At 35.7% G+C, this 27,778-nt stretch overlaps 1 protein-coding gene across 14 annotated transcripts in view, besides 1 other annotated feature; it reads left to right on the top strand.

Annotated features, from left to right (window-relative positions):
• PIBF1 (progesterone immunomodulatory binding factor 1) overlaps nucleotides 1-27,778 on the top strand; it is a 234,329-nt gene that overhangs the window by 132,717 nt on the left and 73,834 nt on the right. For 9 of the 14 annotated variants that reach the window (NR_146205.2, NR_146206.2, NM_001349655.2 and 6 more), the window contains 2 exons: nucleotides 2,227-2,317; nucleotides 16,316-16,418. Coding sequence is in view for 12 of the 14 variants with exons in the window: in NM_001349655.2 (NP_001336584.1) it covers nucleotides 2,227-2,317; nucleotides 16,316-16,418 (194 nt within the window). In the remaining 2 variants the exon portion in view is untranslated. Of the gene's footprint in view, nucleotides 1-722; nucleotides 826-2,226; nucleotides 2,318-16,315; nucleotides 16,419-17,771; nucleotides 17,850-24,998; nucleotides 27,189-27,778 lie in introns of those variants that run through there. The other 5 variants (XM_047430046.1, XM_047430048.1, XM_011534884.4 and 2 more) reach the window with 3 other exon arrangements.
• Nucleotides 20,262-20,456: a silencer, noted in NCBI's record as "fragment chr13:73509249-73509443 (GRCh37/hg19 assembly coordinates)". NCBI's record gives its function as "represses an EF-1alpha promoter that drives an FKBP-Casp9 reporter gene in an ReSE screen in K562 erythroleukemia cells {active_cell/tissue: K562}" and the evidence as "EXISTENCE:reporter gene assay evidence [ECO:0000049][PMID:32094911]".

The following is a 27,778-nucleotide window of genomic DNA, read 5'->3' on the forward strand; positions in this document are numbered from 1 at the left end:
GATTATAGGCATAAGCCACCATGCACAGCTGAAAATTTAACATTATTTGCATTTCCTCTTTCTTCCCTGAAACTTCCTAATTTTTCTGTACAGTTGCTCTCTCTATTAGCAGATACTGCATCTCAGATTTAATCACCTGTGGATTGAAAATATTGGGGAAAAGACAATAATAAAAAATAATACATTTTTAAAAATACAATATAACAACTATTATATATAGCATGTACATTGTGTTAGGTATTGTAAGTGATGCAGACATGGTTTAAAGTGTATGTGAAGGTGTAGATATGTTATATGCAGATATATATATATATACCATTTTATATAAGGGACTTAATCCTGTGGATTAAAACTTCACATACCTTACAAGTCTATGCTTCTGCACATGGACTTCTCTCCTATTCCTTCACTGAATCTCAGTCTCCCCATATCTACCCTATACCTTGTAGCATGGGAAATAGTGGCACTCAGATGCAGTTGCCCTGCGCTCTGCTTCTAAGACACATTGTTCAGATCTCTTTAATAGCATTGTTCAGATCCCTTTAGTAGCATTGACCAAGTTGTATAATACATTGTTTCTGTAATTAATCCCTGCTAGAATAGTTATCCCATGATTTATTAATCCATTAAGTATTAAACTCACATTTAGCATGTCCATTAATATCTAACTTATGGGTTTTTGAGATGTGAACTAAATTTACCCCTCTCTCCTCTGAATTTAGAACTATTAAGGAGAAACAAGAGTCAGTTACATATCTAAATGTTAGCTCTAGTTCCAGTAGAGCTTATTTGGAGAACTCATCTTGGATCTGGACTTACCTGCTAGCTGATCATAGTATTGGTAATGGCATGTATCATCTCTTCCATGTGTCTCTCTCAACTAATAATTCTTCCTCAGAAAGCTAATCCTGATTCACCATGAAAGATAGGGACAAAATTAAAAGAAAACAGTTAATAAATGTTTCTAAAATCTTTACTACAGAAGGGCCAATCAACAAATGTATCCCTATTACATTGATAGGCATGCAGAAGATGAAACATCATGATGGTTGTAAAATATGTGGCTTTGTTTTAATTCTGAAATATTCCTGAAAGTGAATATCTTTTTAACATTAAAATAATGGCTGGTGATAAATAATATTATGAAAGTTTTTATATGTCAATGACTGCTTTTACTTGAGCTATTAAAACTATAGCCTTTGATGAAATACTTTTTTTGGTGTTTTGGGGGTTTTTTTTGATGATGAAATGTTTTTTGGCCAGGTGCGGTGGCTCACACGTGTAATCCCAGCACTTTGGGAGGCTGAGGCAGGCAGATCACCTGAGGTTGGGAGTTTGAGACCAGCCTGGCCAACATGGCGAAACCCTGTCTCTACTAAAAATACAAAAAAAATTAGCCGGGCTTGGTGGTGGGCACCTGCAATCCCAGCTACTGGGGAGGCTGAGGCAGGAGAATCGCTTGAACCTGGGAGGCAGAGGTCGCTGTGAGCAGAGATCACGCCATTACACTCCAGCCTGGGCAACAAGAGCGAAACTCCATCTCAAAAAATATATATATATATATATTTTTTTAATCCCAACTTGCAGTAAAATGTCATTGCATTTCAAGTTTTTTACCCAGAAGATGTTAACCTGTTAGTTAAAATTCCTTTTGGGAAGTAGTGTGACAATAGCAGAATTTAAAAGTAAATTATTTTCACATAATTTTTTTACATTTAAAAAAAGTAAGGCCATCAATACATGCTTAGAGCTGCACAGTTTTTAATAGAGTAACCTACATAAGTACATAATTTTATTGTTGCAAATTAAAATAAAGTTGTTCTGATAAAATAATATTTGTCCTAATTTAAAAATCATTTATCAAGAACAGAATTGATGACTTTGATATGTTATCATTATTTGTTATATTACATAGCATATTTCATGCAAAAAGCCTTTGAGTCCTTCAGAATAATACATGTATTATTATACTTTTTAACAAGAAAACCTAACATGATATGATGCAATCCCTTATACATTTCAAAAATAAATGGAGCAAATTCAAGCAAGGATATACTTTAAGAAATATGTTTCTACTTACAAATGGGCTGTTTAAGATTACATATTAGCCCTTTCTAATGTTTTTATCCTCCCTAATTTGTTATAACCTCCTTTATTTTCACTTCTGCCATCTTTTTTAAAGGAAAAATAAAGTTATTTCACATTATACACTTTAATATTTTCCAGTTGAAAATGAAGATGAGGCTGAAAGGGTTCTTTTTTCCTACGGCTATGGTGCTAATGTTCCCACAACAGCCAAAAGACGACTAAAGCAAAGGTAAAATCAATATATATTTATTTTATTTATCTACTCAAGATGAATGTAATTACATTTGTGCTTTCTGATAATGTGCTGAGTTCAGTGACAAAGTCCTTTATTCTTACTCTGCATAAATATTAAATTTCTCACAAAATAAAACACTAATAATCATGTATTTCATATATATTTAAATAAATTTAGTGGTTTGTAGAAGTGTGCATAAGAATTTATGTAGAATTAGATTCGATGATAAGGACCTTGTTTTTATTTTCACATTAATTTCAGATGAGCTACAAATGCTTTGTATCAAGAATATTCAGATTAAAATTCATTGTGCTTTTTTTTTTTCTTTCTCTCATTTTTATTCAACTGCCTACATTCCTTCACATACATGTTAGGGAGAGTGATTTGGAATTAATGCATATATTGTAATTGAAACTATGAAAGGCTTTACAAAACCAAGAGAATATTTAGAAGACCCACTAGTTATCTTGTGAGATAATGTTTAAAAGTACAGTCAGCCCTCTATATCCATGGGTTTCACATGTGTGAATTCAACCAACCGCTTATCAAAAATATTCGCGAAAAGAATGGATGATTGCATCTATGCTGAGTATGTGCCGACTTTTTTTCTTGTCATTATTCCTTAATACAGTTATTCACATAGCATTTACATTTTGTTAGGTATTATAAGTAATCTAGAGATGATTTAAAGTATATGGGAGGATATGCGTAGGTTGTATGCAAATATTATACCAATTGTATGTAAGGGACTTGAGCACTCATGGATTTTGGTATCCACAGGAGGTGGAGAATGTACACTGGAACCATGCATCCCGTGGATACCAACAGACAACTGTATGCTAACAGAAAATTATACCTACATTAATCAGGTTTCCAGTTGACCTGCCTGATTTTTATTCCTAACTCCTCTCTTGCACGAAAATTTATCCTGCTTTGCAAAAACATCTCACGGCCCCATTCACTACCACATCAAATCCATCAAATCTAAATGTTTCTTTCAGACTTCCACGCGCCTCTATAATGTAGCTCTATCTCTCCAGCCTTATTTGCCTCTCTACCCAAAGTGCAGTGGATATACCTATTTCTCTGCCTATAAAGCAACTGTTTTCTCTGTACCACACAGCAGAGCATTTCTCTTATCTCATTAGCTATCATTTCCTGTGTAATTTACCCATCTAGATGGAAAGTTCTTCGAGGTCAGCAACTACCTATTTTTTTTTTTTTTTTTTTTTGAGATGGAGTCTCATTCTGTCACCCAGGCCTGGAGTGCAATGGCACAGTCTCAGCTCACTGCAACCTCCACCTTCCAGGTTCAAGCAGTTCTCCTGCCTCAGTCTCCCAAGTAGCTGGGACTACAGGCGTGCACCACCACACCCTGCTAATTTTTGTATTTTTAGTAGAGATGGGGTTTCACCATGTTGGTCAGGCTGGTCTTGAACTCCTGGCCTTGGCCTCAAGTGATCCACCTGCCTCGGCCTTCCAAAGTGCTGGAAACACAGGAGAGATCCACCATGCCCAGTCTAGCAACTACATCTTTTTTTTTTTTTTTTGAGACAGAGACTCACTGTGTCACCCAGGCTAGAGGCAGTGGCACGATCTCAGCTCACTGCAACCTCCACCTCCCAGGTTCAAGCAATTCTCCTGTCTCAGCCTCCCGAGTAGCTGGGATTACAGGCATGTGCCACCATGCCTGGCTAATTTTTGTATTTTTAATAGCGACAGGGTTTCACTGTATTGGCCAGGCTGGTCTCAAACTCCTGACCTCAAGTGATCCACCCACCTCGGCCTCCCAAAGTGCTGGGATTACAGGCATGAGCTACCACGCCGTGCCAACTACATCTTATTCTTGTTTATTTTTCACTTTCTCTATCTAACTCAGTGCAGGATACCTAGTAAAATTGTTTCTTCATCAGAGCGTTTGAGAATTCAGAGTTGCTTTTTTTTATGTGAACTGATTTAGACATTTAGAGACATTGTACACTAAGAAAATGACTCAGAAAATAGAACATCTATATGGCTATCTAAAATGATGTATCCTCATTAATATAGTGGTGAATAAAAAAATAAAGTGATGTAGAATATAGAGCACTTTATAGAAAGCAAGAAAAGGATAGTTAGAACTTATGGCTCTTACCAGTTAAACTAAATATATGCCAAATTTTGATCAAGGCGAGCTGAATAGAAAGTATATATTTGTAGCTGGAATGTTTAATTCTGTCTGGTGAGGATTCAGATATTTCAGAATTATGTATTTTTAAAAAATCAGTCCCATTCCCATTTCCTCTAAAAGTCACAATGGGTAACCTAGGATATTTTGTAATTTTCAGCATATCTGTTTCTTAGTCCAATGTTGCCTAAGGAAGAATAGAACATAGTTTTGTGGGTAAGAGACTTATCAGTAGTAAATGATAGGTAAAATACTAAAACTTGAAATTTAAAGGGAAAGGTCATATTCTTTTCTCTATTTTGGCCTCTGAATCCTTCAAAAGAATCTTTGTTACAAGAAAAAATAGGGCTGGGTGCAGTGACTCACACCTGTATTCCCAACACTTTGAGAGGCCAATGCAGGCAAATTGCTTGAGTCCAGGAGTTTGAGAACAGCCTGGGCAACATGGCAAAACCCCATCTCTACAAAAAATACAAAAACTTAGCTGGGCATGGGGACATCTGCCTGTAGTCCCAGCTACCCTGCTCAGGAGGCTGAGGTGGGAGGATTACCTGAGCTCAAGAGGTCGAGGCAGCAGTGAACCGTGATTGTCCACTTACTCTTCAGCCTGGGTGACAGAGTAAGACTCTGTCTCCAAAAAAAGAAAAACAGAAAAGAAAGAATTCTGCTGTTAGAACTTTGCTTTTCTTAGCCCCAAATGCTGAGTTCTTCAGAATCACAAACAATTATTGCTGTTGCACATTACTATTTTTTTAAGAATTTTTAAAAATAGAGGTTGGTTTTTAATATTTAAAGTGAGGATTTAAGGAACCACAACTGATTCATACTCGAAATAATGTTAACTGTCCAAATATTCTAAAGATTCTATCACTGAGCTATCTATGTGCCTTGAACATGTGCCTAATGGGCATGCTATTAATATCTCCTGCCAGCTGGTGCCAGGCATTCTTCTCATGGTGAGCCAGAGGGTTATTTTGAGGAAGTGCTTCTCAGGTCATCTAAGCTGAATGACGGGAAAGTAAGGCTAGATATCCAAAGAGAACATTTATGCATTCCTTCATGCATTCAACAACTTTTATTGAGTGCTTACTGTATGCACAAAATTGATCAATGGCACTAAAGATCCCAGGTTAGGGTCTGATACATTTCTGAAGTTTGCAAAGTCCACATTTGAGTTCATAATGGATATTTGTAAAGAAAGCGGTGGCTTTGCGCTCTTTTTATGTTTATTTAAGATAAAAGCAGTATAACCTTTGAGAGAATTATATGTAATCCTTCACATTTGAAATTAAAGGATTGGAGCCAGACGCACTGGCATGTACCTGTAATCCCAGCTTCTGGGGAGCCTGAGGCAGAAGGATCACTTGAGACCAGCAGTTTGAAGCTGTAGTACACTATAATTGCACCTGTGACTAGTCACTGCACTCCAGTCTGGGCAACATAGAGAGACTCCCATCTCTCAAAAAAAGAAAAGAAAAAAAAAATCAGTGGAAACTTAAGGCGAATGATAAAACAACTCAGTCAAAACAGTAAATGAACTATATGCAAAATAAAGTTTTCATTGTACATCAGCCTATACCAAAATATATTAAAGTTTCAAAGGAACCTATTTTCCAACTACTACACAATAGATTCCATTCATATTAAATTTGATTTAAAATCTTATATGTTCAACAACCAGAATTAGATATTTTAGGGTAGCATTTAATTGGAAGGAGATTTCTGATTTGTTATAACAGTAATGTTTATTTTATTTTATTTTTATTTTTATTTTTTGGAGTTGGAGTCTCACTCACTCTGTCACCCAGGCTGGAGTGCAGTGGCATGATCTCGGCTCACTATAACCTCTGCCTCTCAGGTTCAAGCAATTCTCCTGCCTCAGCCTCCCAAGTAGCTGGGACTACAGGTGCATGCCACCACGCCTGGCTAATTGTTTGTATTTTAGTAGAGACAGGGTTTCACCATATTGTCCAGGCTGGTCTCGAGTGATCTCAAACTCCTAAGCTCAGGCAATCTGCCCACCACGGCCTCCCAAACTACAAGGATTACAGGCATGAGCCACCACACCAAGCCATGTTTATTTCATAAAATTGGAAAATTACTGGTAATCCTACCATCCAAAATAACCACTCGGAAATGTATACAGATATATATATATACTTTCTTATTTAAGATATTATTGCTTGTAATTTAATAGTTTAATTTATTGTCATAGAATTCCATTGTAAACATTTTCTTATGTCATTGGATATTCTTCAGAAAGGTCATTTTTAATGGTTATCCAAAACGTTAATTTTTAGTACTTCCATTTTTGAGTGCTATATTTTCATTACTTAATTGTATAGTTACTGAAAAATATCATTAGTTGCCTATTGCAACCCAGGCAATACCACAAAATTAAAATGAGAAAATGGATGTGAAGTTCCTGACATAGAGTAGATCTTTAGTAAGTGCTAGGTCGTTACACCTTGATGTGTTTGTTCTTAAAGTAAATTACATAGTTAATTTTAGAGGAAAAGCCAGGGTTCTGAAATCTTTTACTAGGCACAATTTGAGTTTTCATTTAAGACGATATTGTTTTAAAATTATACAGAAGCCTCTTGAAATAATTAGCAGGGATACCCCCCAAACATGAAACTTTCTTTAGTATCAGTCCATTTTTAAGAGTCTCACTCTGTTACTCAGGTCGGAATGCAGTGGCACCATCATAGTTCACTCTCATCTCAAACTCCTGGGCTGAAGTGATCCTCCTTTCTATCTTCCTGAGTAGCTAGGCATGCACGCTGTACCTGGCTAATTTTTTTATTTTTTATTTTTTTGTAGAGACAGGGTCTTGCTGTGTTGCCCAGGCTGGTCTGGAGCTCCTGGCCTCAAGCAATCATCCCACCTCAGCCTCCCAAAGTCCTGGAATTATAGGCATGAGTCACCACACCCAGCCTATTTTTTAAAACTCTTTCTGGGACACAATTATAGAAAGTTACAAGGGCTTATACAATTAAAGTAGATTAAAATAAAATGGGCTCTCCTTGACTAAACTTGAAAATCTGAAGTAATGTTTTCCTTTCAGTTGTGATTGTTTTGAAAATAGCAAACATGATTTTCTAGTTACATGTTTTGGTTAAGCCCTTTAACCTGCCACACTAAATGGTGACACCCAGGCACTAACATGGTCTTTGTATATGCCTCTGTGTTTGTTTTGGCTAATCTGAATGTGGAGACTGTTCTGACGTTCTTAAACCTTTCAAATTGTGAGATTACTGCGTACTATAGTTTCTCTCGTTTTATAAAAAGCTTTAAGTTAAAACTTTCAGTTTACTGAACTTCATAATAAAAAAAAATAAAGCAGAGGAAACTAGCAAAATTTTGTGTATGACAAACATGTTTTCCTTTCCTTTATTCTCATATATATGAGTTCTCATTTTTGTCCTTGGGGAAACTTGTACTCATTTCATTTGGGATGGCTTTAGGAATAGTTCTTTAAAAAGTTGCTGCTTTTCTATTCATGATAAATTTGGAAGTGTAAGCCTATAGAAGAAACTAGCGACAGTCTCATGTAACTACAGATAATCAGCATGAGATCACTGTTTAGTCCTTAGTCATTTCCAGCTGAGTAGATAGTATAAGGACCAGCCTTAAGCTTTTTGAAAGTGGGATCCTTCTGGCACATGTCCCCTTCTTTGCAACCATCTTTGATGCCATGCTAGTAGAGACAGGACTCTGATCTACTGAAAACTGAGAAAGATCAAATAACTAATATAGCTAATAAGCATGCCTCACATATTCTTGCTCATTTCGAGTTTTGGTAATAGTAAGACACCGTACCAATACTGAAGAACCCAGAACAGAGCGTCAATCCTCCATTGTGCTTTGATATCTCAGATATAAACAAAACTCTGTCATGTCCACATTTGCTAGGCTAAAAATGTTAGGAAATTGTATGTAGTAATCAGAAATACAGACTGCCATGGACAGAGCCAAAACCAATAACCTGTATTTGGCATCAAGAAGTGCTAAGAGAGCTAAAAGATAACCCTTGGAGGAATACTAATTTGACCAAGTAACAGGTGAAATTTTGGTTTAATATTTAGGTGTACAACCAATATACTGGTGGTGGTAGTTTCTAGCTGATATCAAACTTAATCTTGGTATAAGTGAAAATCATTTAAGCAATTAATGTATTAATTACAAAGAAGTATTGTATCTATTTAAGTGTCCCAATAGATAGCTTATAAAAAGCATTGCTTTCTTGAGAAATTCAGTACATTCTACACCAAAAATAACATTTAGCAAGAGTCATTTTTCCTGACCATGTTTATAGTTATTCTTCTTGAAGATCTTAGCAGGGCCAGGCACGGTGGCTCACGCCTATAATCCCAGCACTTTGGGATGCTGAGGCAGGTGAATCACCTGAGGTCAGGAGTTCGAGACTAGCCTGGCCAACATGGCAAAACCCCACCTCTACTAAAAAGACAAAAATTAGTTGGCATAGTGGTGGGCGCCTGTAATCCCAGCTGTTCCAGAGACTGAGGCAGGAGAATTGCTTGAACCTGGGAGGCAGAGGTTGCAGTCAGCCCAGGTCACGCCATTGCACTCCAGCTTGGGCGACAAGAGCGAAACTCTAACTCAAAAAAAAATTTTTTTAAATAAAGATCTTAGGACTTGTTTTCATTGTATGTTTATTGTGTTAAGGAGGCATAAACTCAGCTGTAGTTGAGCAGTTCTTCATTTGTCTTGTTTTGAATTTCATTTAAACACTCTTCTTTCTTCCCACTTGTAAGATCCCAGACTTCTAAAGAGGATCCACCTATAGCACCAAATCACTCACCAAAGCAATATGCCCACTTAAAGTTTTAGGAGGTTGAATATAGAAGTGGTGAATTGGTATCTAAGACATTTGCCTTCTTCTTTGTGCACTTTTTAATTGCTAGTTCAATGCTTAATACTGAGCATTAGTTGTACTTTATTTTTTTTCTTTAATTGCCCATTATTGGCAATAGGTGTACCTTAATGTTGAGGTGCTGCAACTTCGGAGTATGGTTTCTAACAGTGTGTTCATTTGAACAAAATGCACTTACAACAAGATCAGTCCAGAGGTACTTATCGCTATGCACATGTCTCACGCCTATAATCCCAGCACTGTAGGAGGCTGAGGTGGAAGGATCACCTGAGCCCAGGAGTTTGAGACTAGCCTGGGTAACAATGTGAAACACAGCCTCTACAAAAATTTTAAAAATGAGCCAATCACCCTAATGCACCTGTGGTCCCAGCTATGTGGGAGGATGAGCTGGGTCACTTGAGCGCAGGAGGTCAAGACTGCAGTAGCCATGTTTGCACCATTGCACTTCCTGGCCTGGGCAATAGAGTGAGACCCTGCCAGAAAAAAAAAAAAGAAGATTTATTAAGTACCTACTCTGATAAGCTCTACAGTTAGATACCACAGGGGATAAGACTCCTGTCATTTTATGAGTTGCATCTGTTTAGGGAGAAATGATTAACATACATGAAAGAATATATAAACTTTAGTACTATATCATATGTTGGGTTAGGCTATGTCAGTCAGAGGAATAGAGATCTGTGAAGGCTGGCACAGTCAAAAATGGAGGAAGTGGAACTCGACGGGAGCCTTTAAAGAAAATCTTCAGACTGGAGGACCAAGAAAAGGCAGTGGAAGGAATACAGAAAACATATTTGTGAGACGTTAAGTAGAGTAGACATGAAGGGCAAATAAGGTTAGTTCCAGTGAGATTATAGAGGGTCTTGATATTTTTAAATAATTTAGAGATAGAGTAAAACTAACCATGAAGGTCAGATTTGAAAGTGAGTGGGAACAGGATATAGACATCAGTTCACTATGTAAGAAATACAGATGTCTGACAAACATGAAACAATGCTTAATCTCACAAATAAATTTAATTTAAAACAGGATTTTATGTTTATCTATAAGGTTAGCAAAACTTCCAAAGATTGACAATGCTCAGTATTGGTTGGGTTATGAAGAAACAGGAGATATGAATGAACAGGAATTCATTCATTCAATAGATAATTTCTAAGTACCTCCTTTGTACCAGGTATTTATTGTTGAACTGTAACAGGTTTTTATATTTTCTGGATTCAAGTCTCTTAACTGATATGTGATAAGAAATTTTTTCTTCCATTCTGCAGATTGTCTTTTCACTGTTTTTTTCCTTTTTTCTTTCTCTCTCTTTTTTTTTTTTTTTTTTTTTGAGACGGAGTCTCTGTTGCCCAGGCTGGAGTGCAGTGGTGGAATCTCAGCTCACTGCAAGCTCCGCCTCCCGGGTTCAAGTGATTCTCCTGCCTCAGCCTCCTAAGTAGCTGGGATTACAGGCGCCTGCCACCACACCCAGCTAATTTTTGTATTTTTAGGAGAGACGGGGTTTCACCATGTTGGCCAGGCTGGTCTCGAACTCCTGACCTCAAGTGATCTGCCCACCTCAGCCTCCCAAAGTGCTGGGATTATAGGCATGAGCCACCGCACCCGGCCCTGTTTTTCTTTTTCATGACAAAACTGAAATGGTTAAAATCTTTTTACTTTCTTAATGGTGCATTTTGAAGCCCAGAATTTTAAAATTTTGATGCAGTCCAGTTTATCCAATTTTTTTTGTTACTTATGCTTTTGCTGCCCTGAGAATCTTTTGCTAAATCTAATTTTGTGAGGATTTACTCATATGTTTTCTTCTAAAAGTTTATAGTTTTAGCTTCTGTATTTAGGTCTTTGATCCATTCTAATTAATTTTTTGGTATCATATGAGGTAAGGGCTTTGTACTGTTTATTAATGTGGCTACTAGAAAATTTTAAATTGCATATGTGGCTTGCATTATATTTCCATTGGACAAAGCTGACCTAGACCAGTGGTCTCCAAACTTTTTGATACGAATTTTTATTGGGAAAAAATTTGAGTACACACTCAGCAATATATGCATATGTATTCATATTTATTTATAGATTATGTACGCATGTGCTATCATATGAATAGTATGCACATAATGATATAAAACCTACACAGCAAATGAAAACTTAAGATAATTTAACATTAAAATAAATGTAAGTAAAAGTTCCCACAGTTCAAGAAATAATTTTGCACATAACTACTTTTAAAGACCACTGGTCTAGATTATGATCATAACCTTCTAAATGACTGTAGTCTTCTTCCTTCTGCAGGCCATCCTGCACACTACTGATAGAGCACTCTTTCTAAAGTGCGGGCCAGATCGTGTTATGTCTAACCAACTTCAGGATAAAATCCAAACATACAAGGCTTTTCATAAAATATCTCTGCCTATATCTCTCTAGCTTCAACCCTCACCATGCACCATATATTATTGATCTATACTCTACTACTTAGAATTTTCCCTAGCACTTCATCCTCTACATAGGCATTTCCCTCTACCTAAAATGCTGTTTCTCTGCTTCTTCACCAGATTAGTTAGTATAGTTTTTATTCCTTAGTGGTATGCCTTTTCTTAGCATTTAGCATACTACAGTAATTTTTAAATTTGCCTGTCTTCCTCAGTAGACTATTAGATCTTCCCAGTAGATATTATGTATTCTCAGTGCCTATGCAGATTATAGGTTTTTAATACATGTTTCTTCAAAGGAAGTGTTCATGAATATTTTTCGAATGAATTAATGAGTGTGTTTCTTCTAATTCACCCTGCTTTTCTGCAGTCATTGATATTCATCACCAAGAAAAAATAGTAATTTCCTTTTTTTTTTTTTTTGAAACAGAGTCTCACTCAGTTGCCTAGGCTGTAGTGCAGTGGCACGATCTTGGCTCACTGCTTACTGCAACCTCTGCCTCCCGGGTTCAATAGATTGTTGTGCCTCAGCGTTCCAAGTAGCTGGGATTAAAGATGTGTGCCACTGTCCGGGCGTGGTGGCTCACGCCTGTAATCCCAGCACTATGGGAGGCCGAGGTGGGCGGATCACGAGGTCAGGAGATCGAGACCATCTGGCTAACATGGTGAAACCCTGTCTCTACTAAAAGTACAAAAAATTAGCCGGGCCTAGTGGCGGGCACCTGTGGTCCCAGCTACTGAGGAGGCTGAGACAGGAGAATGGCGCGAACCCGGGAGGCGGAACTTGCAGTGAGCCGAGATCGCGTCACTGCACTCCAGCCTGGTGACAGAGCAAGACTCCAACTCAAAAATAAAAATTAAAATAAAAAAAAGATGTGTGCCACCACACCCAGATAATTTTCGTGTTTTTAGTAGAGGTGGGGTTTTGCCATGTTGGCCAGGCTGGTCTCAAACTCCTGGCCTCAAGTGATCTGCCTGCCTTGGCCTAATTTTTTTTTACTGTTTTTGTTTTACTGTAAGTATTATAATGATGAAAAACAGTTATATTTCTTGTTTCTGCTGTGTTCTTTTGCTTAAATATATCTTTATATTTCTTTTCATTAAATCTTAATATAATCTCTTATATCCTTAATAATACAATCTTAATAAATCTGAGTATAATCTTTTAATGAAAGATTTTATATTATCTTTTGTTCTTTTCTGTGTATGTGTGTTTGTACTACATTAGTGGGCTAAATGGGTCTTTTAGGGCAACTGAGAACTTTAATACCATTTCTAATATATGTGTGTATATATATATATACACATATATATATATATACATATATATATACACACACATATATATACATATATATACATATATATACATATATATATATATATATACATATATATATGAGGAAATGTGTTTTACTGTTCTTACAACTGACTTAGAGGTGAGTTTTTAAAATGTGAACCCCATATATACTGGAGACCAATTGTACCATGTTGTCTTCTACATTATTATCATTATGCATCATAAATGACATCAACAGTCATACTAATACTCACGGTCCTTCCCGTCACCATCAATTCTCAGAAAGTTTTTCTCAGTAAAATTGTACTATAAACTAGTAATCAAAGCACTGTAGAGTATATTTGTAAGCAATTTGAAGATACCTTAGATACTTTCCTTCTATTTAGAGTTGATTTTCCTTACTTGGAATCTCCCAGTCAAAATCAGGGAAATTCCTTTTTGAAGAAAGTAGTCCTGGTGTTAAGGCTTAAGCACTAGCATACCAAGAATTTCTTTTTTTTGAGATGAAGTCTTGCTCTTGTCCCCCAGGCTGGAGTGTGATGGCACCATCTCAGCTCATTGCAACCTCCGCCTCCCAGGTTCAAGCGATTCTCCTGCCTCAGCCTCCTCAGTTGCTGGGATTACAGGCGCCTGCCACCACGCCCAGCTAATTTTTGTATTTTTAGTAGAGACAGGGTTTCACCATGTTGGCCAGGCTGGTCTTGAACTCCTGACCTCAGGTGATCTGCCTGCCTCAGTCTCCCAAAGTGCTGGGATTATAGGCGTGAGCCACCTCACCCGGCAAGAATTTCTTGAGTCAGTGTTTTATGACTTATGATATTTTTATTGGTAAGCGGTATCACCCTATCTGTATAAGAACATTATAGAATTCCCAAACAAAATAAAAGCACTCAAACCAAATGAACAATTTAACATTATTAAACTTGATGTCTTCAAGTCATTATCTTGTTCAGATTGTTGGTAATATGTGACCTCTGCATCTCATTTTCTTGCATGTCTTTGTCTTCCATTTCATTCATTTGTAACTCTAGTTCTGTGTAATTGCATTTGATTGTGTTTATTGTTCTATACTGAGTATACACATACTTGTTCTACACCTTCAACATATTTATTGAAAAATTACCATGTTTAAGTGACCCTAGTGTGAAGTTCTGTGGGACACAAAAAGATAAAAAAAAGTTAACACCTAACATGTATGAAGAGTAAGAAAGCAAGAATAAAAATGTGAATAAAGATAGCTCCAAGATTTTTTAATTAACCTAATAAAAATAGAGCTAATGATAAACTGATGCTTGCAAACGTATAATGGAATCAACGGATTTTAAATGCAAAATTCACATTAAGGCTTATTTTATTTGTAGAAATCTTGTTATTTTAGGGTCAAATTAGAGAGAACTTAGTATATTTTTATTGGGAAATGAAGAACAATATAGTCATAAACTGTAAACTCCTTAAAAATTTATAAAGAGAGAAAGATTAATGGTTCCCTAAGGTTGAATTTGAGGAGCAAAGGAGGAAGTTGGAATGTGGGGAGGATGGAGAGTGACTGGTAATGGACACAGAAATTCTTCTTGAGATAATGAAAATGCTCTAAAATTAGATTATAGTGATAGTGGCACAACTCTAAATATACTAAAAATCATTGAATTGTACACTTTAAATTGGTGGACTTTATGATATTTAAGTTGCATATCAGTAAAATTGTATGTCAGTAAAGTTTAAAAAAAAAGTGGTTGTCAAAAAATGAGGACTGTATGCTTTTTCCATCTCTAATGCCAGTTGAAAGAATTTTAGATCTAAACAAGCAACTCAAATCACTTTATAAACTTTTGCCAGAACTCATCTTTTTTATTTGGTATGAGTTCTTAGAAATAGATATATAGAATGATATTTAACACTATTTATTATTATTATTATTTTTAGAGACAGGGTCTCTGTGTCACCCCAGGCTGGATTGCAGTGGCACAATCCTAGCTCACTGTAACCTCGAACTCCTGGGCTCACGTGATCCCCCCATCTCAGCCTCCCAAGTAGCTGGAACCACAGGCATGCACCATCATGCCCAGCTAATTTTTGTATTTTTTGCAGAGGCAGGGTCTCACCCTGTTGCCCATACTGGTCTTGAATTCCTGGCCTCAAGTGATCCTCCTGCCTCAGCCTCCCAGAGTGCTGGGGTTGCAGGCATGAGCCACCGCGCCTGGCCTTAACATTATTTTTTAGAATGTTGTCTGCATTTCTTTATCTGATATTGGGAAATATTAAAATACAATAGAATTTTTTCTGCCCTATGATTTTATTTAAAGCACAGTTATCTTACTTTTTGTCATTATAAAACATTCCATCTAGGATTCCATGGATTCTGCAATTCACAGATTAATAGGTTAACTAGTATAAAATATGAAAATATGATAAATATGAAAATGTTAAGTTACTGGAAATGCAGAGAGGTTCTTTGGAGCAATATGTCTTCTCAAAATTATTAGCAGTTCTTTAAAGAAATATACCACTTCCTCCCACCATAGTTAGAAGGAATAGATTTTATTCTTAAAATTGTTTCTTAAAAGTAGAATTGAGATGTTTCATATGTAATTTTAAATACTAAAGGTCAGTGCAATAAGTTATGGTAATGCAGAGCATCAGAGGGAGTGATTTTTTTCTTTTAGTACAGAAGCTTAGCCTTTACTATAGACATTCTCTAAGTTTTATATATCTTTTTCATCTCCACTTTCAATTAAAAACCTCATTTTTGTTTTATATTATAACATGCATTATGTTGTTTAAAGTAAACTCTGATACTTCTCAAAGTGATAAGCTAATTATTGTTTGTAATATTTCAACTAATTTTCTGATTTGTAATTGGAAAATATTTATAAAAGTGGAGACAAGCTGTAAATTGCTGTATTGTGGTCTTTTCAAGCAAGTGTTATAATGTTACCTCTCCACTTTTATAGCAAGGGCTAAAAACCGTTACTGCAGTAATCAGTCTATCACGGTTATGTTTTAATGTTGTTACTCTCATAATTCTGAGTTGTGGGGTATTGGTCTTCCACTACTGGTGCCTGAAAATATTATTTGACTCTATATTTTTTCTGTTAATATTTAAGTATAATTAGGAAATGATGTCTATTTTCAAGTACACAAACACATTTTGAATATTTTGGGCAGTATTTCACTTTTAAGCATTAATTTTCTTATTTCATTTGCCTAGTGTTCACTTGGCAAGAAGAGTGCTTCAATTAGAAAAACAAAACTCGCTGATTTTAAAAGATCTGGAACATCGAAAGGACCAAGTAACACAGCTTTCACAAGAGGTAAATAACTTAAAGAAACCCATATGAAGAATCACAGTATTCATTTTAATTGTTTGTAACTCTTTTATTTTTCTAAGCAGTTTTAAAATAAGCTGTTTGCTAGTACAAAATGATTTCACAATTTATGAAACTAACTGAATGTTAAGGCCATAAAAAACAACTTACAGTGTATGGCAAAACTGAGAACAAAAGGGAGATTAAATGCCCAGACTAAGTATAAATGCAGACTAGACAGACAGAGCTTTGATTTCTGAGAATATCAACTGGTAAAACAGGTTTGGCAAACTTTGGTGACATTTTAAGTTTTTTACTAATCATTTTTAAGATAGATTTGGTTTTTACCTCTGTGTTTAATGAGAAATCACTCCTCTGTTAAATTTAACTTTGTTTACACTTAGAAAATCAGGCTCATATTGCTTCTTTTTCTTAGCCTTATGTCATTTAAACTACGTATATATATATATATATATATATATGTATGCATTTTACATAGCATTTTTAATCATCTTCTGATGTCAAGATCTAATTTTATTTTTCTGTACTTTTGAAATGCGAGTCATAAAACAATTTAAACCGGAGGTACTACTTTGCTAATGTTCCTTTTATTTATTTATTTAATATTCCTGAGTGTCAACATAAGAAGTTTTTCCGTTTTTTTCTTTGTTTCTTTCTTTTTTTTTTTTTTTTTTTCTGAGACAGGGTCTGGCTTTATCGCCCAGACTGGAGTGCAGTGGCATGATCACAGTTCATTGCAACCTCTGCCTCCCAGGGTCAAGGACTCCTCCCTCCTCAGCCTCCCAAGTAGCTGGAACTGTAGCTACGCACTACTGTGCCTGGCTAATTTTTGTATTTTTTTGGTAGAGACAGGGTTTCACCATGTTGCCCAGGCTAGTCTAGAACTTCTGGGCTCAAGCGATCCACCTGCCTAGGGCCTCTGAAAGTACTGGGATTGGAGATGTGCCACTGCACCCAGCCAAGAAGTTAATATTTTAAAAGTTTTAAAAACTATTTCTCTTATAACAAAGGGTTTTTTCAAGTCATACATTAAATAACATTAATATATGTTGTTTATTATTTGTTTTCTTAAGGATCTGTTTATATTCTTTAGAGTGTCTTTTCATACTATAACATTAGGAGGATCTTTATCCTCAAATTTCGAAAGACCAGAAATACTTCATTTTATTGCAGTTCCTGACACATAGTTAATGCTTGGGGTTGACACAGTGGTGTGTTGGTAAATGTTAACAGCCAGCTTTCCAAGAGGGATATGAGGGAGAGCTTGATTTGTAACATTGGCTTGTATCTCTTTTATAAATACTCCCACCATGGCTGACTTCAAACTACCAACCTAAGGTTACTGAAGATGGAGTAAAGATTGTCAGCAGCATACCAGTACTTAATGTTTGCACCATACAGATACAACAGACATAGGTAAACTCAAGAGCACAGATAATAGTAAAATAATTTTAAATTGACAAATTTGATTGTTTTTACCTTTGTTTTTAATAAAATGTATTTTACTATAAATTTAAATAATTTAGTTTAGTTTTTAATGCTAGTTGTGTTTGATAGCCAGCCCACAAAATTCCTAAAAATTTTCAGGATTCATTTGTACTTCATTCTTTTCATTGCTGAGTAATTTCTTTGTGTGGATGTACCAGTTTGTTTATCCATTTACTTGTTGATGGACATTGGAGTCATTTCCAGTTTTTGGAATAAAGCTCATATGAACATTCATGTACAAGTCTTTGTATGAAATAATAGAGAACTCCTACAAGCTGCTGCAAGCCAAGTCCAGCACACTGCTAGGTGGAAGCAGAAAAGATAATAAACAAACAAACAAACCTCTGTTTGCTAATATATTGTAGATCCCTCATGTTGCCTTTAATTTCACAGTAATTTTCAAAAATATTTTTTAAAAGTAAAATATTAAAATACATGCCTTCCTGAGCATTTCAGTTAATTGAAATAAGAATTTCTAAATGTGGGCTGGATGCAGTGGCTCATGCCTATTATCCCAGCACTTTCGGAGGCCAAGGCAGGAGAGTCACATGAGCTGAGGAGTTTGAGCCTTGGCTACAAAGCAAGATCCACCATCTCTAAAAATAAAGAAGCCGGGTGCACTGGCTCATGCCTGTAATCCCAGCACTTTGGGAAGCCAAGGCAGGGGGATCACTTGAGGTCAAGAGTTCAAGACCAGCCTGGCCAACATGGTGGAACCCTGTCTCTACTAAAAATACAAAAATTAGCTGGGCATGATGGCACATGCCTGTAATCCCAGCTACCTGGGAAGCTGAGGCACGAGAATCACTTGAGCCTGGGAGGCGGAGGTTGCAGTGAGCTGAGATCGTGCCATCGTACTCCAGCCTGGGCAACAGAGGGAAACTCTAGTCTCAAAAATAAAAAGAAAGAATTTCTAAATGTGAACACACGTCTATAAATTGTTGGGAGAAAATGTAAGAAATTAAGTGTTAAATGCTCCTATAATTAAGTATAATTAACTTTGTATGAAACCATTTTTAAATAAGCTATGGCTTATATTGAGAAAAAGACTTAAATGCTGAAATATTTATGATGTGAAATGGTATGGTGCCTGGAATTTGCTTTAAAATATTTCATGAGAAAAGGAGGAAGGGCTTAACAAATAAAACAAGAATCACAAAATGTTAATAATGTTTGAAGTTGGATGACGTTTACATATAGGTTTAGTAGTGAGTTCTGGACTTTTGTGTATGTTTGAAAAAATTTCATAAGACATTTGGAGAAAGAATCAGTAACCCTATATTAAAGGATCTATGCCAACTTCAGTATATAACTTTTCCCTTAAGATTGAAAATAAAATATTTAAAGTATTCTATGGACTTTACTTTTTTCTGCTTTACAAAAATTATATTGCTTACACTGAAAATAATTATATAAACTAGATGAATGATTAGTATTAGATTGCTGTTATAACAATAGACTATTCATAATAGATGGTGAAATAATACAGATGGAAATTATCTCAGGATCTTTATTCTTTATTTTATTTTATTATTTATTTATTTTTGAGACAGAGTCTCGCTCTCTCGCCCAGGCTAGAGTGCAGTGGTGCATTCTTGGCTCACTGCAACTCTGCCTCCCAGTTTCAAGTGATTCTCCTGCATCAGCCTCCCGAGTAGCTGGTATTACAGGTGCACGCCACCACGCTGGGCTAATTTTTTGTATTTTTAGTAGAGATAAGGTTTCACCATGTTGGCTAGGCTGGTTCAGGATCTCTATTCTTTGGATCAGGTTAAATATTTAAATCAGTTTGGCCTTTTTGATAATACACAGATGAAATACTGATAACTAATGTTAGAATTACCATTGAGTTAAACACTATTCAGATTATGTCTGAGATTGTACATAAGTGAACTGACAAAATGACAATGCTAAGTAATACCCAAAATAAAAACAAATACTCCCCTTTTTAGCAGCTTTATTGAAGTATAATTGATATACAGTAAATTGCACATATTTAAGGTATAGTGCAGTTTGACATTTGGCACATGAATATACCTATGAAACTATCACCAAAATGAAGGTAATAAACACATATATCTCCCCAAAAGTTTCCATATGCCCCTTTGGAATTCTTGCCTCCCAACCTTCCCCATCTCAGTCCCTAAGCAATTACTGATTTACTTTCAGTTACTGTAGGTTAGTTAGTTAGTTAGTTTGTTTGTCTGTCTGTTTGTTTGTTTGTTTGTTTATTGAGACAGAGCCTCACTCTGTTGCCCAGGCTGGAATGCAGTTGTGCAATCTTGGCTCACCACAACCTCTGCCTCCTGGGTTCAAGCAATTCTCCTGCCTCAGCCTCCCAAGTAGCTGGGACTACAGCCATGTGCCACCATTCCCGGATAATTTTTGTATTTTTAGTAGAGGCGGGGTTTCACTATGTTGGCCAGGCTGGTCTCGAACTCCTGACCTTGTGATCCACCTGTCTCAGCCTCTCAAAGTGCTGGGATTACAGGCGTGAGCAAGCCTAGCTTGTATTTCCTAGACTTTTATATAAGAGGAATCATATAGTATGTATATGCTTTTTTTAATGTCTCCTTTCACTCTGCATAATTATTTCAAGATTTATTTGTAGTTCATTTTTTTCATTACTGAGTAACATTTCGTTGTGTGGAAGTACCACAGTTTGTTTATCCATTCACTTGTTGATGGACATTGGAGTCATTTCCAGTTTTCTGAATAAAGCTCAGATGAACATTCACATACAAGTCTTTGTATGGACGTATGCTTTCATTTCTCTTGGGTAAATATCTAGGAGTAGACTGGCCGGATCATATCGTAGGTGTCTATTTGACATCTTAAGAAACTGCTAAACTGTTTCCCAGATGTTTGTACCATTTTACATTTCCACCAATAATGTATGAAAGTTCCAATTTTTCTACATCCTTGCCTTGATATGGTTAGTTTTTTTATCCACTATAATGGGTGTGTAGTGGCATATTAGTGTGGTTTTAATTTGCATTTCTCTAATGACGAATGATTTTGAGGATCTTCTCATTTGAGTTTCTTTGCCCTCTGTTTATCTTCTTGGGAGAAGTGTCTCCTCACATTTTTTGTCTGTTTTATCAGGTTGTTTGTCCTCTTATTCTTGAGTTTTGAGTATTATTTATATATCCTAAATACAAGTCATTTATCAGATATATGATTTACAAATATTTTTTCCCACCCTGTGGCTTATCTTTTCACCTCTTAATGATGTCTTTTTATTTATTTATTTATTTATTTATTATTTATTTTTAGAGACAGAGTCTCACTCTGTTGCCCAGGTTGGAGCGCAGTGGTGTAATCATAGCTCATTGCAGCCTCGAACTCTTGGACTCAAGAGCCTCAAACTATTGGGAGCCTTAGCCTCCCAAATACTAGGACTGCAGTTACCTGCAACCACACCTGGCTAATTTTTTTTATTTTTTTGTAGAGATGAGGTCTCACTATGTTGCTCAGGTTGTCTCGAACTCCTGGGCTCAAGTGATCTTCCCACCTTGGCTTCCCAAAGTGCTGGGATTGCAGGTGTGAGCCATCCCACCCAGCCAACAATGTCTTTTGAAGAGATGCTTTTATCAAGTACAGTTCATCACTTTGTTCTTTTATGGATTGTGCTTTGGTGTTGTATTTTAAATATCTTTGCCTAACCTAGGGTCATAAGGGGTTTTGTCTATTTTTAATTCTAGATGTTTCATAGTTTTAGGTCTGTGATTCATTTTTAGTTTAATTTTTATACTGAGTGGAAGATATAGATTGAAATTGATATGTTTGCATAATTGAAACACAACTGTTGTAGCATCATTTGTTGAGAAACAATCATTTATGTGTGAGACTGTTCTCGACTCTCTGTTCCAGTTATCTGTCTTTATGTCAATACCACACTATCTTGATTGCTGTAGCTTTATAATATCTGGAAATCAGATAGTATTGGTCCTCCAATGCTGTTCATTTTCAAAGTTGTTTAGCTGGGTGTTTTTTTTGCATTTCTATATGAATTCTATCATCAGTTTGTTAATTTTTTTTTCAAAAACTAGCTGTGATTTTGGTTGACATTACGTAAGTTGAATATATAGATGAAGCAGAGAAAATTGACATCTTAATATTGAATATTCTGACCCATGAACATACTGTATCTTTACCCTTATTTACGTCTTCTTTAATTTATCTTAATACTATTATTTTTTAGTTTTCACTGTATAACTAAAAACTGTCAACTGTTTGACATCTTTTATTGTCAAACTTTTACAGTGAAAACTACTAAAACATTAGCATTAGCAAAGTGTATGTTTTTCCAGCCTTCTTCTTTTAACCCGTCTGACAAAATATGATTTTCAATTGGAGATTTTTTTAGAACACTTAACATCTAGTATATTTATTGATATGGTTATGTTCAAGTTTTTCATCTTGCTAATGTTTTCTGTTTGGCCCATCTACTTTTTATTCACTTTATTTTTCTTGTCTTCTTTTGGATTAATTGAATTTTTTTATTTCATTTTATCTTATTGTTGCTTATTGGCTATAACTTTGTTATTTCAGTGGTTGATTTAGATTATAGTGTATATGTATCTTTAACTTATCACCATGTAGCTCCAAGTGATATTTAGTAAAACATATGGTATAAGAACCTTACAACAGTATTCTTCTATTTGTTCCCCCAGCCTTTGTGTTCTTGTTGTCGTACATTTTATTTATACACATATAAACTCCCATACTACATTACTGCTATTATTACTTAAACAGTGATAATCAGGCTGGGCACAGTGGCTCATGCCTGTAATCCTAGCACTTTGAGAGGCTGAGACAGGTGGATCACCTGAGGTCAGTAGTTTGAAACCAGCCTGGCCAACATGGCAAAACCCTGTCTCTACTAAAAATACAAAATTTAGTGTGGTAGCAGGCACCTGTAATCCCAGCTACTCGGGAGGCTGAGGCAGGAGAATAGCTTGAACCTAGGGGTTCGAGGTTGCAGTGAGCCGAGATCGCGCCACTTCACTCCAGCCTGGGCGAAAGAGTGAAACTCCATCTCAAAAAAAAATAAATGAAATGAAATAAACAGTGATAATCTTATAAAGAGATATAATAATATGAGGGAAATATGTTAAATTTAAATAGTTACCATACCTTGTGCTCTTTATTCCTTTTTGTAGGCCTAAATTTCAAACTGTTATCTATTCCTTCTGGTTGATGCACTTCCTTTAACAATTTTTATAGAGCAGGTCTATGGTGATGAATTCTGTTTCTGTATATAGCAAAAAGTTGCTATTTTGCCTATTTTTAGTTTTTTTGTTTTTACATTTCTGACTATTTTTGACAAAAGTCTAGGTTAAAATGCAATTCTCACAGATATGGAATAAGGCCAAATTAACTGAAAGTAGCCATTTAAGAGTTTACTTTTTTTATTGTGGTAAAATTCAGATAACAAAATTTACCATTTTAACCATTTTAAAGTATACGATTTAGTAGCTCATGGTATGTGTATGGTGTTTCATACACAGCACCACTATCTAGTAAAAGAGCATTTCCATCACCTGGGAAGGAAACCCTGTACCCATTAAGCAGTGACTCCCCATTCCCGCCTCCACCTCAGTCCCCCACAAGCAATAATGTGCTCTCTCTCTCTCTATGGATTTGCCTGTTCTGGATATGTTATATAAATGAAATCATGCAATATTTGGCCTTTTGTGTCTGGCTCCTTTCACTTAGCATAATGTTTTCAGGGTTCGTATTTTGCCATCTATCAGTGCTCAGTTCCTTTTTATGACTGAATAATATTCCATTTTGCAGATTAACTACATTTTGTTTATCCATCAGTTAATGGATTTTTGTCTGTTTTGAATAGTGCTGCTGTGAACATTTCATGTTCAAATTTTTTGTTTGAACACCTGTTTTCAATTCTCGTTAAGTGGAATTCAAGATGAAATGGTAATTCTATGATTCACTTTTCAAGAAACTGCAAAACTGTTTTTCGTAGTGACTATGCCATTTTACATTCCCACCAGCCATTTCAGGGGTTCCAATTTTTCCACATCCTCACCAATGCTTATTTTTCATTTTTTTAACTCTAGCCATCCTGGCAATTACAAAGTAGTATCTTCTAATGATTTTGCTTTGCATTTCTCTAATTAGGTTAATAATGTTAACTATCATTTTGGGTTCTTATTGGCCATTTATATATCTTCTTTAGAAAGATGTCTGTTCGAGTCATTTGCCCACTTTTGAATTGGGTTGTCTTTCTGTTGTTGAGTTGTAAGAGTTCTTTATATATTCTGGACACTAGACCTTTATCCAATACATGATTTGCGAATATTTTCTCCCATTCTGTGTGGGTTGTCTTTCCTCCACTTGTTAGTGTCCTTCAAGGCACAAAAGTCTTTAATTTTGATAAAATCTACTTTATCTTAGGTGTCTTGTGCTTCACCTTTGGTTTTGTGGGTTTTTTATTGAGGTGAAATTCACATGACATAAGATTAACCATTTTAAAGTAAACCGTTTAATATTCATTCACAGTGTTGTACAATCACTATCTCTATCTAGTCCTAAAACATGTTCATCACCCCAGAATAAAACCTTGTACCCATTAAGCACTTAATACCCACTCCTCTTTGCCCCCACCCTCTGACAACTGCCAAATCACTTTATTTCTGTGGATTTACTTCATCTGGATATGTTTCATATAAATGGAATCATACAATATGTGACGTTTTGTGTCTGGTTTCTTTCACTGAGCATACTGTTTTTGATGTTCATCCATATTGTAGCATGTATCCAGTACTTTAACCCTTTTTATGGCCGAATAATATTCTGTTGTGTATATTTACCTTAATTTGTTTATTCATTTATCCTTTGATGAACATTTAGGTTATTTCCACCTTCTGACTATTGTAAAAAGCGCTGCTATGAACACGCAAATACAAGCAAATGTATGAGTACCTGTTTTCATTTCTTTTAAGTGTATACCTGGGAATGGATTTGCTGGGTTCACCTTTGTTTTTTAGAAAGATATTTTCCCTGGGTAAGGAATTTGAGGTTGACTTTTCTCTCCCTCTCTCTCTTTTTCAGTAGTTGAAAGATACTGCTTCACTCCCTTCTAGTTTGCATCGTTTCTGCCAAGATATTGCCGTCATCCTTATCTTTGTTCCTCTCTAGGTAATGTGTATTTCTTTAGCTGCTTTTAAGAGATTTTTAGTCACTGGCTGTAAGCAATTTGATTATCATTTGGCTTTCTGGAGTTTTCTTCATGTTTCCTATGCTTGGGTTTTGTTGAACATCTTACATATGTGAGTTTATCAAATTTATAAATTTCTTAAATTTTTAAATACTTCAATCCTCTCACCTTCCTTTGAGGACTTCAATGAGATATATATTAGGTTGCTTAAAGTTATTCTACAACAGAACAAATGATGTTCTCTTCAGTTTTTTTCAGTCTTTTTTCTGCTTTTCTTTTGAATAGCTTCTTTTACTGTGTCTTCCAGTTCACTAATCTTTTTTTCACCACTGTATAATCTGCTTTCAGTTCAATCCAGTTTTTATCTCAGATATTGTAGTTTTCATTTCTAGAAGTTCAAATTGGATCTTCTTTGTGTCTTTTAGGTCTCTCCTTAACATTCTCAAACTTTATTTTCTGGAATATGTGAAATATAATTTCAATAACTTTTTTATATTCTTGCCTACTAATTCTATTATTTTGTCATTTCATGGCTGCCTTCAATAAATTTGAATTTTCTCATTATATATCACATTGTTCAGCTTCTTTGCATATGTAGTAATTATTTACTGGATGCCAGACCTTGTAAATTTTACCTTGATGCTATATATTTTGTATTCCTATATGTTTTTGTTAGCTTTGTTCTGGGACATAGTTAGGTTTCTTGGAAACAGTTTGATTCTTCCAAATCTTGCTTTTAAGCTTTTTTAGGCAGAGAAGGGTTTATCGTAAGGCCAATTTCTCCCCCATTACTACAACCAAACTCTTTGAGTATTCCATGTCCTGTAAATTGTAAGGTTTTCTACTTTGGCTGATGGAAATAAGCACTATGCCTTGCCCATGTTCACTTCAGAGATTGCTCCTACCAATCTTGTCTGTAGTTCTGTCTCCTGTCTTTATACATATGCACTGTTCTGTGCCAGGTAAATACTTAAGGGGCACTATCTGTAAATTGTCAGAGTTCTGTCTCTTTGCAGCTCCCTTTTCTTCAGTAGTCTCCCATATGAACTGTAACCACCTTGGTTATTACTTCTATCAACAGCTCCTTAACTCAGGGAATTTGACAGGCTCTGCCTTAATTCTCCTTCCCAGCACCACAGCTTGAAAGCTGTCTCTAGTCAATAAACTAAGGCAGTCATAGAGTTTACCTTGTTTGTTTCCTGTGTGTCAGGGATCTCCTTCATTGCATGATGTCCAATGTCTTTCGACCGTTGTTTTATTAGTTGGTCCAGTATAACAGAGAAAACAAGTTATTCTTTTTTGTGTATTTGTGTATACCCACTAATTCTCAAGAAACTGCCAAGTTTAGTTAAGAGTCAAGTGTCAGTGTGGAGTTTGTTAAACAGTAGAAAATCCAGAATCATAAAGTGTGCCACATTACTGCCAACAGTAAGGCAGCTAAGAATTGGTCTTTCTTAGCTGCCTCAAACCTTGATATATGCTCTCCTTCTAGTTATTCAGTAAATATTTATCAATTTCCCACTATATTCAACAACTGATGACAAAATAGACATGGTTTTTCACTTCTAACATAACCAACCTTATTCACAAAGGCCTTATTTTCTACTGTAAGCACGCAGAGATTTATCTTTTACAACTGACTTAATTTCAGGAAGCTTGTCTAGAAAGTGGGACATGCACAGTCATCAGTAACCACATGGCAAGGTTTAGCTACCTGGAATTTTGTACCTAGAAGGCATTGCTAGATTTGAAAGAGGCGTCAAGGTGCATAGGTAAAATAAAGTAGACCTATATGTATTAACTTTGAAAGAAATTTATACTGTATTGATGATTTTTCAAAAAACAAATTGCAGAATAATTTCTGTTTCTCTGTTTGGGTTTTAATATATTTGTGTGTGTGCATGTACCCAGCATATACAGAGAGGATGGGATTGTGTTTCTGTTTAAACATACAGAAAATGAAAAAAATCTGAAAATATGTCATGCAAAGGGGACACAAATACCACTAGTCATGGATTAGCAATATGAAATGAGCTTTATTGGTATAAAGTAAGTACTTGAAGTAATAAAACATTTATCTCTGCCCCTTGAGTTGCCTGACCCATTCTTCTGCCTCTAACAACTGCTAGGAGTGTTCTTCCAGCATCCCCAGTGAGCTCAGTCTCTTGGAAAGAGTCTGTGGCACATACAACTCACAGGACCACACCTCAACATTATAAAGGAGGAGACTCACATACCTACCATGTGGCCCTAAACAATCTAGATCTGATTAAATTTCAAGGTCAACCATATTTCTAAGACTTCAATGATGTAAAAAAAAAAAAAAAAAACCCACTGTTTTGTGTACCACTGTGAGGAAGAGTGGAGGATGCTGCTGATTAAACTGTGATACAATGCTTTGCTATTACTTTAATTTTTTTCATTTTAGACATACTTTCTTTTAGACTTTAGGCAGTGATTTTTGTCCTATATTGCACAACTCTGTTTCTGTGTTTTTCTTCTGTTTCAATGCCGAATCCCTTGTGATCTTTTTAGATACTTAAATGACAATTGTACTCAGCCTATGAAGGACTAGCCATACTCAAAACTCAATTGAAGTAATAATATGAACAGCCAAGACCAATTTTTTCATGCATGGGCTTTATCAACAGCAATTATAAGATGTATGCTATTT

This window comes from Homo sapiens, chromosome 13 (genome assembly GCF_000001405.40).
Source record: "Homo sapiens chromosome 13, GRCh38.p14 Primary Assembly".
Lineage (NCBI taxonomy): Eukaryota > Metazoa > Chordata > Mammalia > Primates > Hominidae > Homo > Homo sapiens.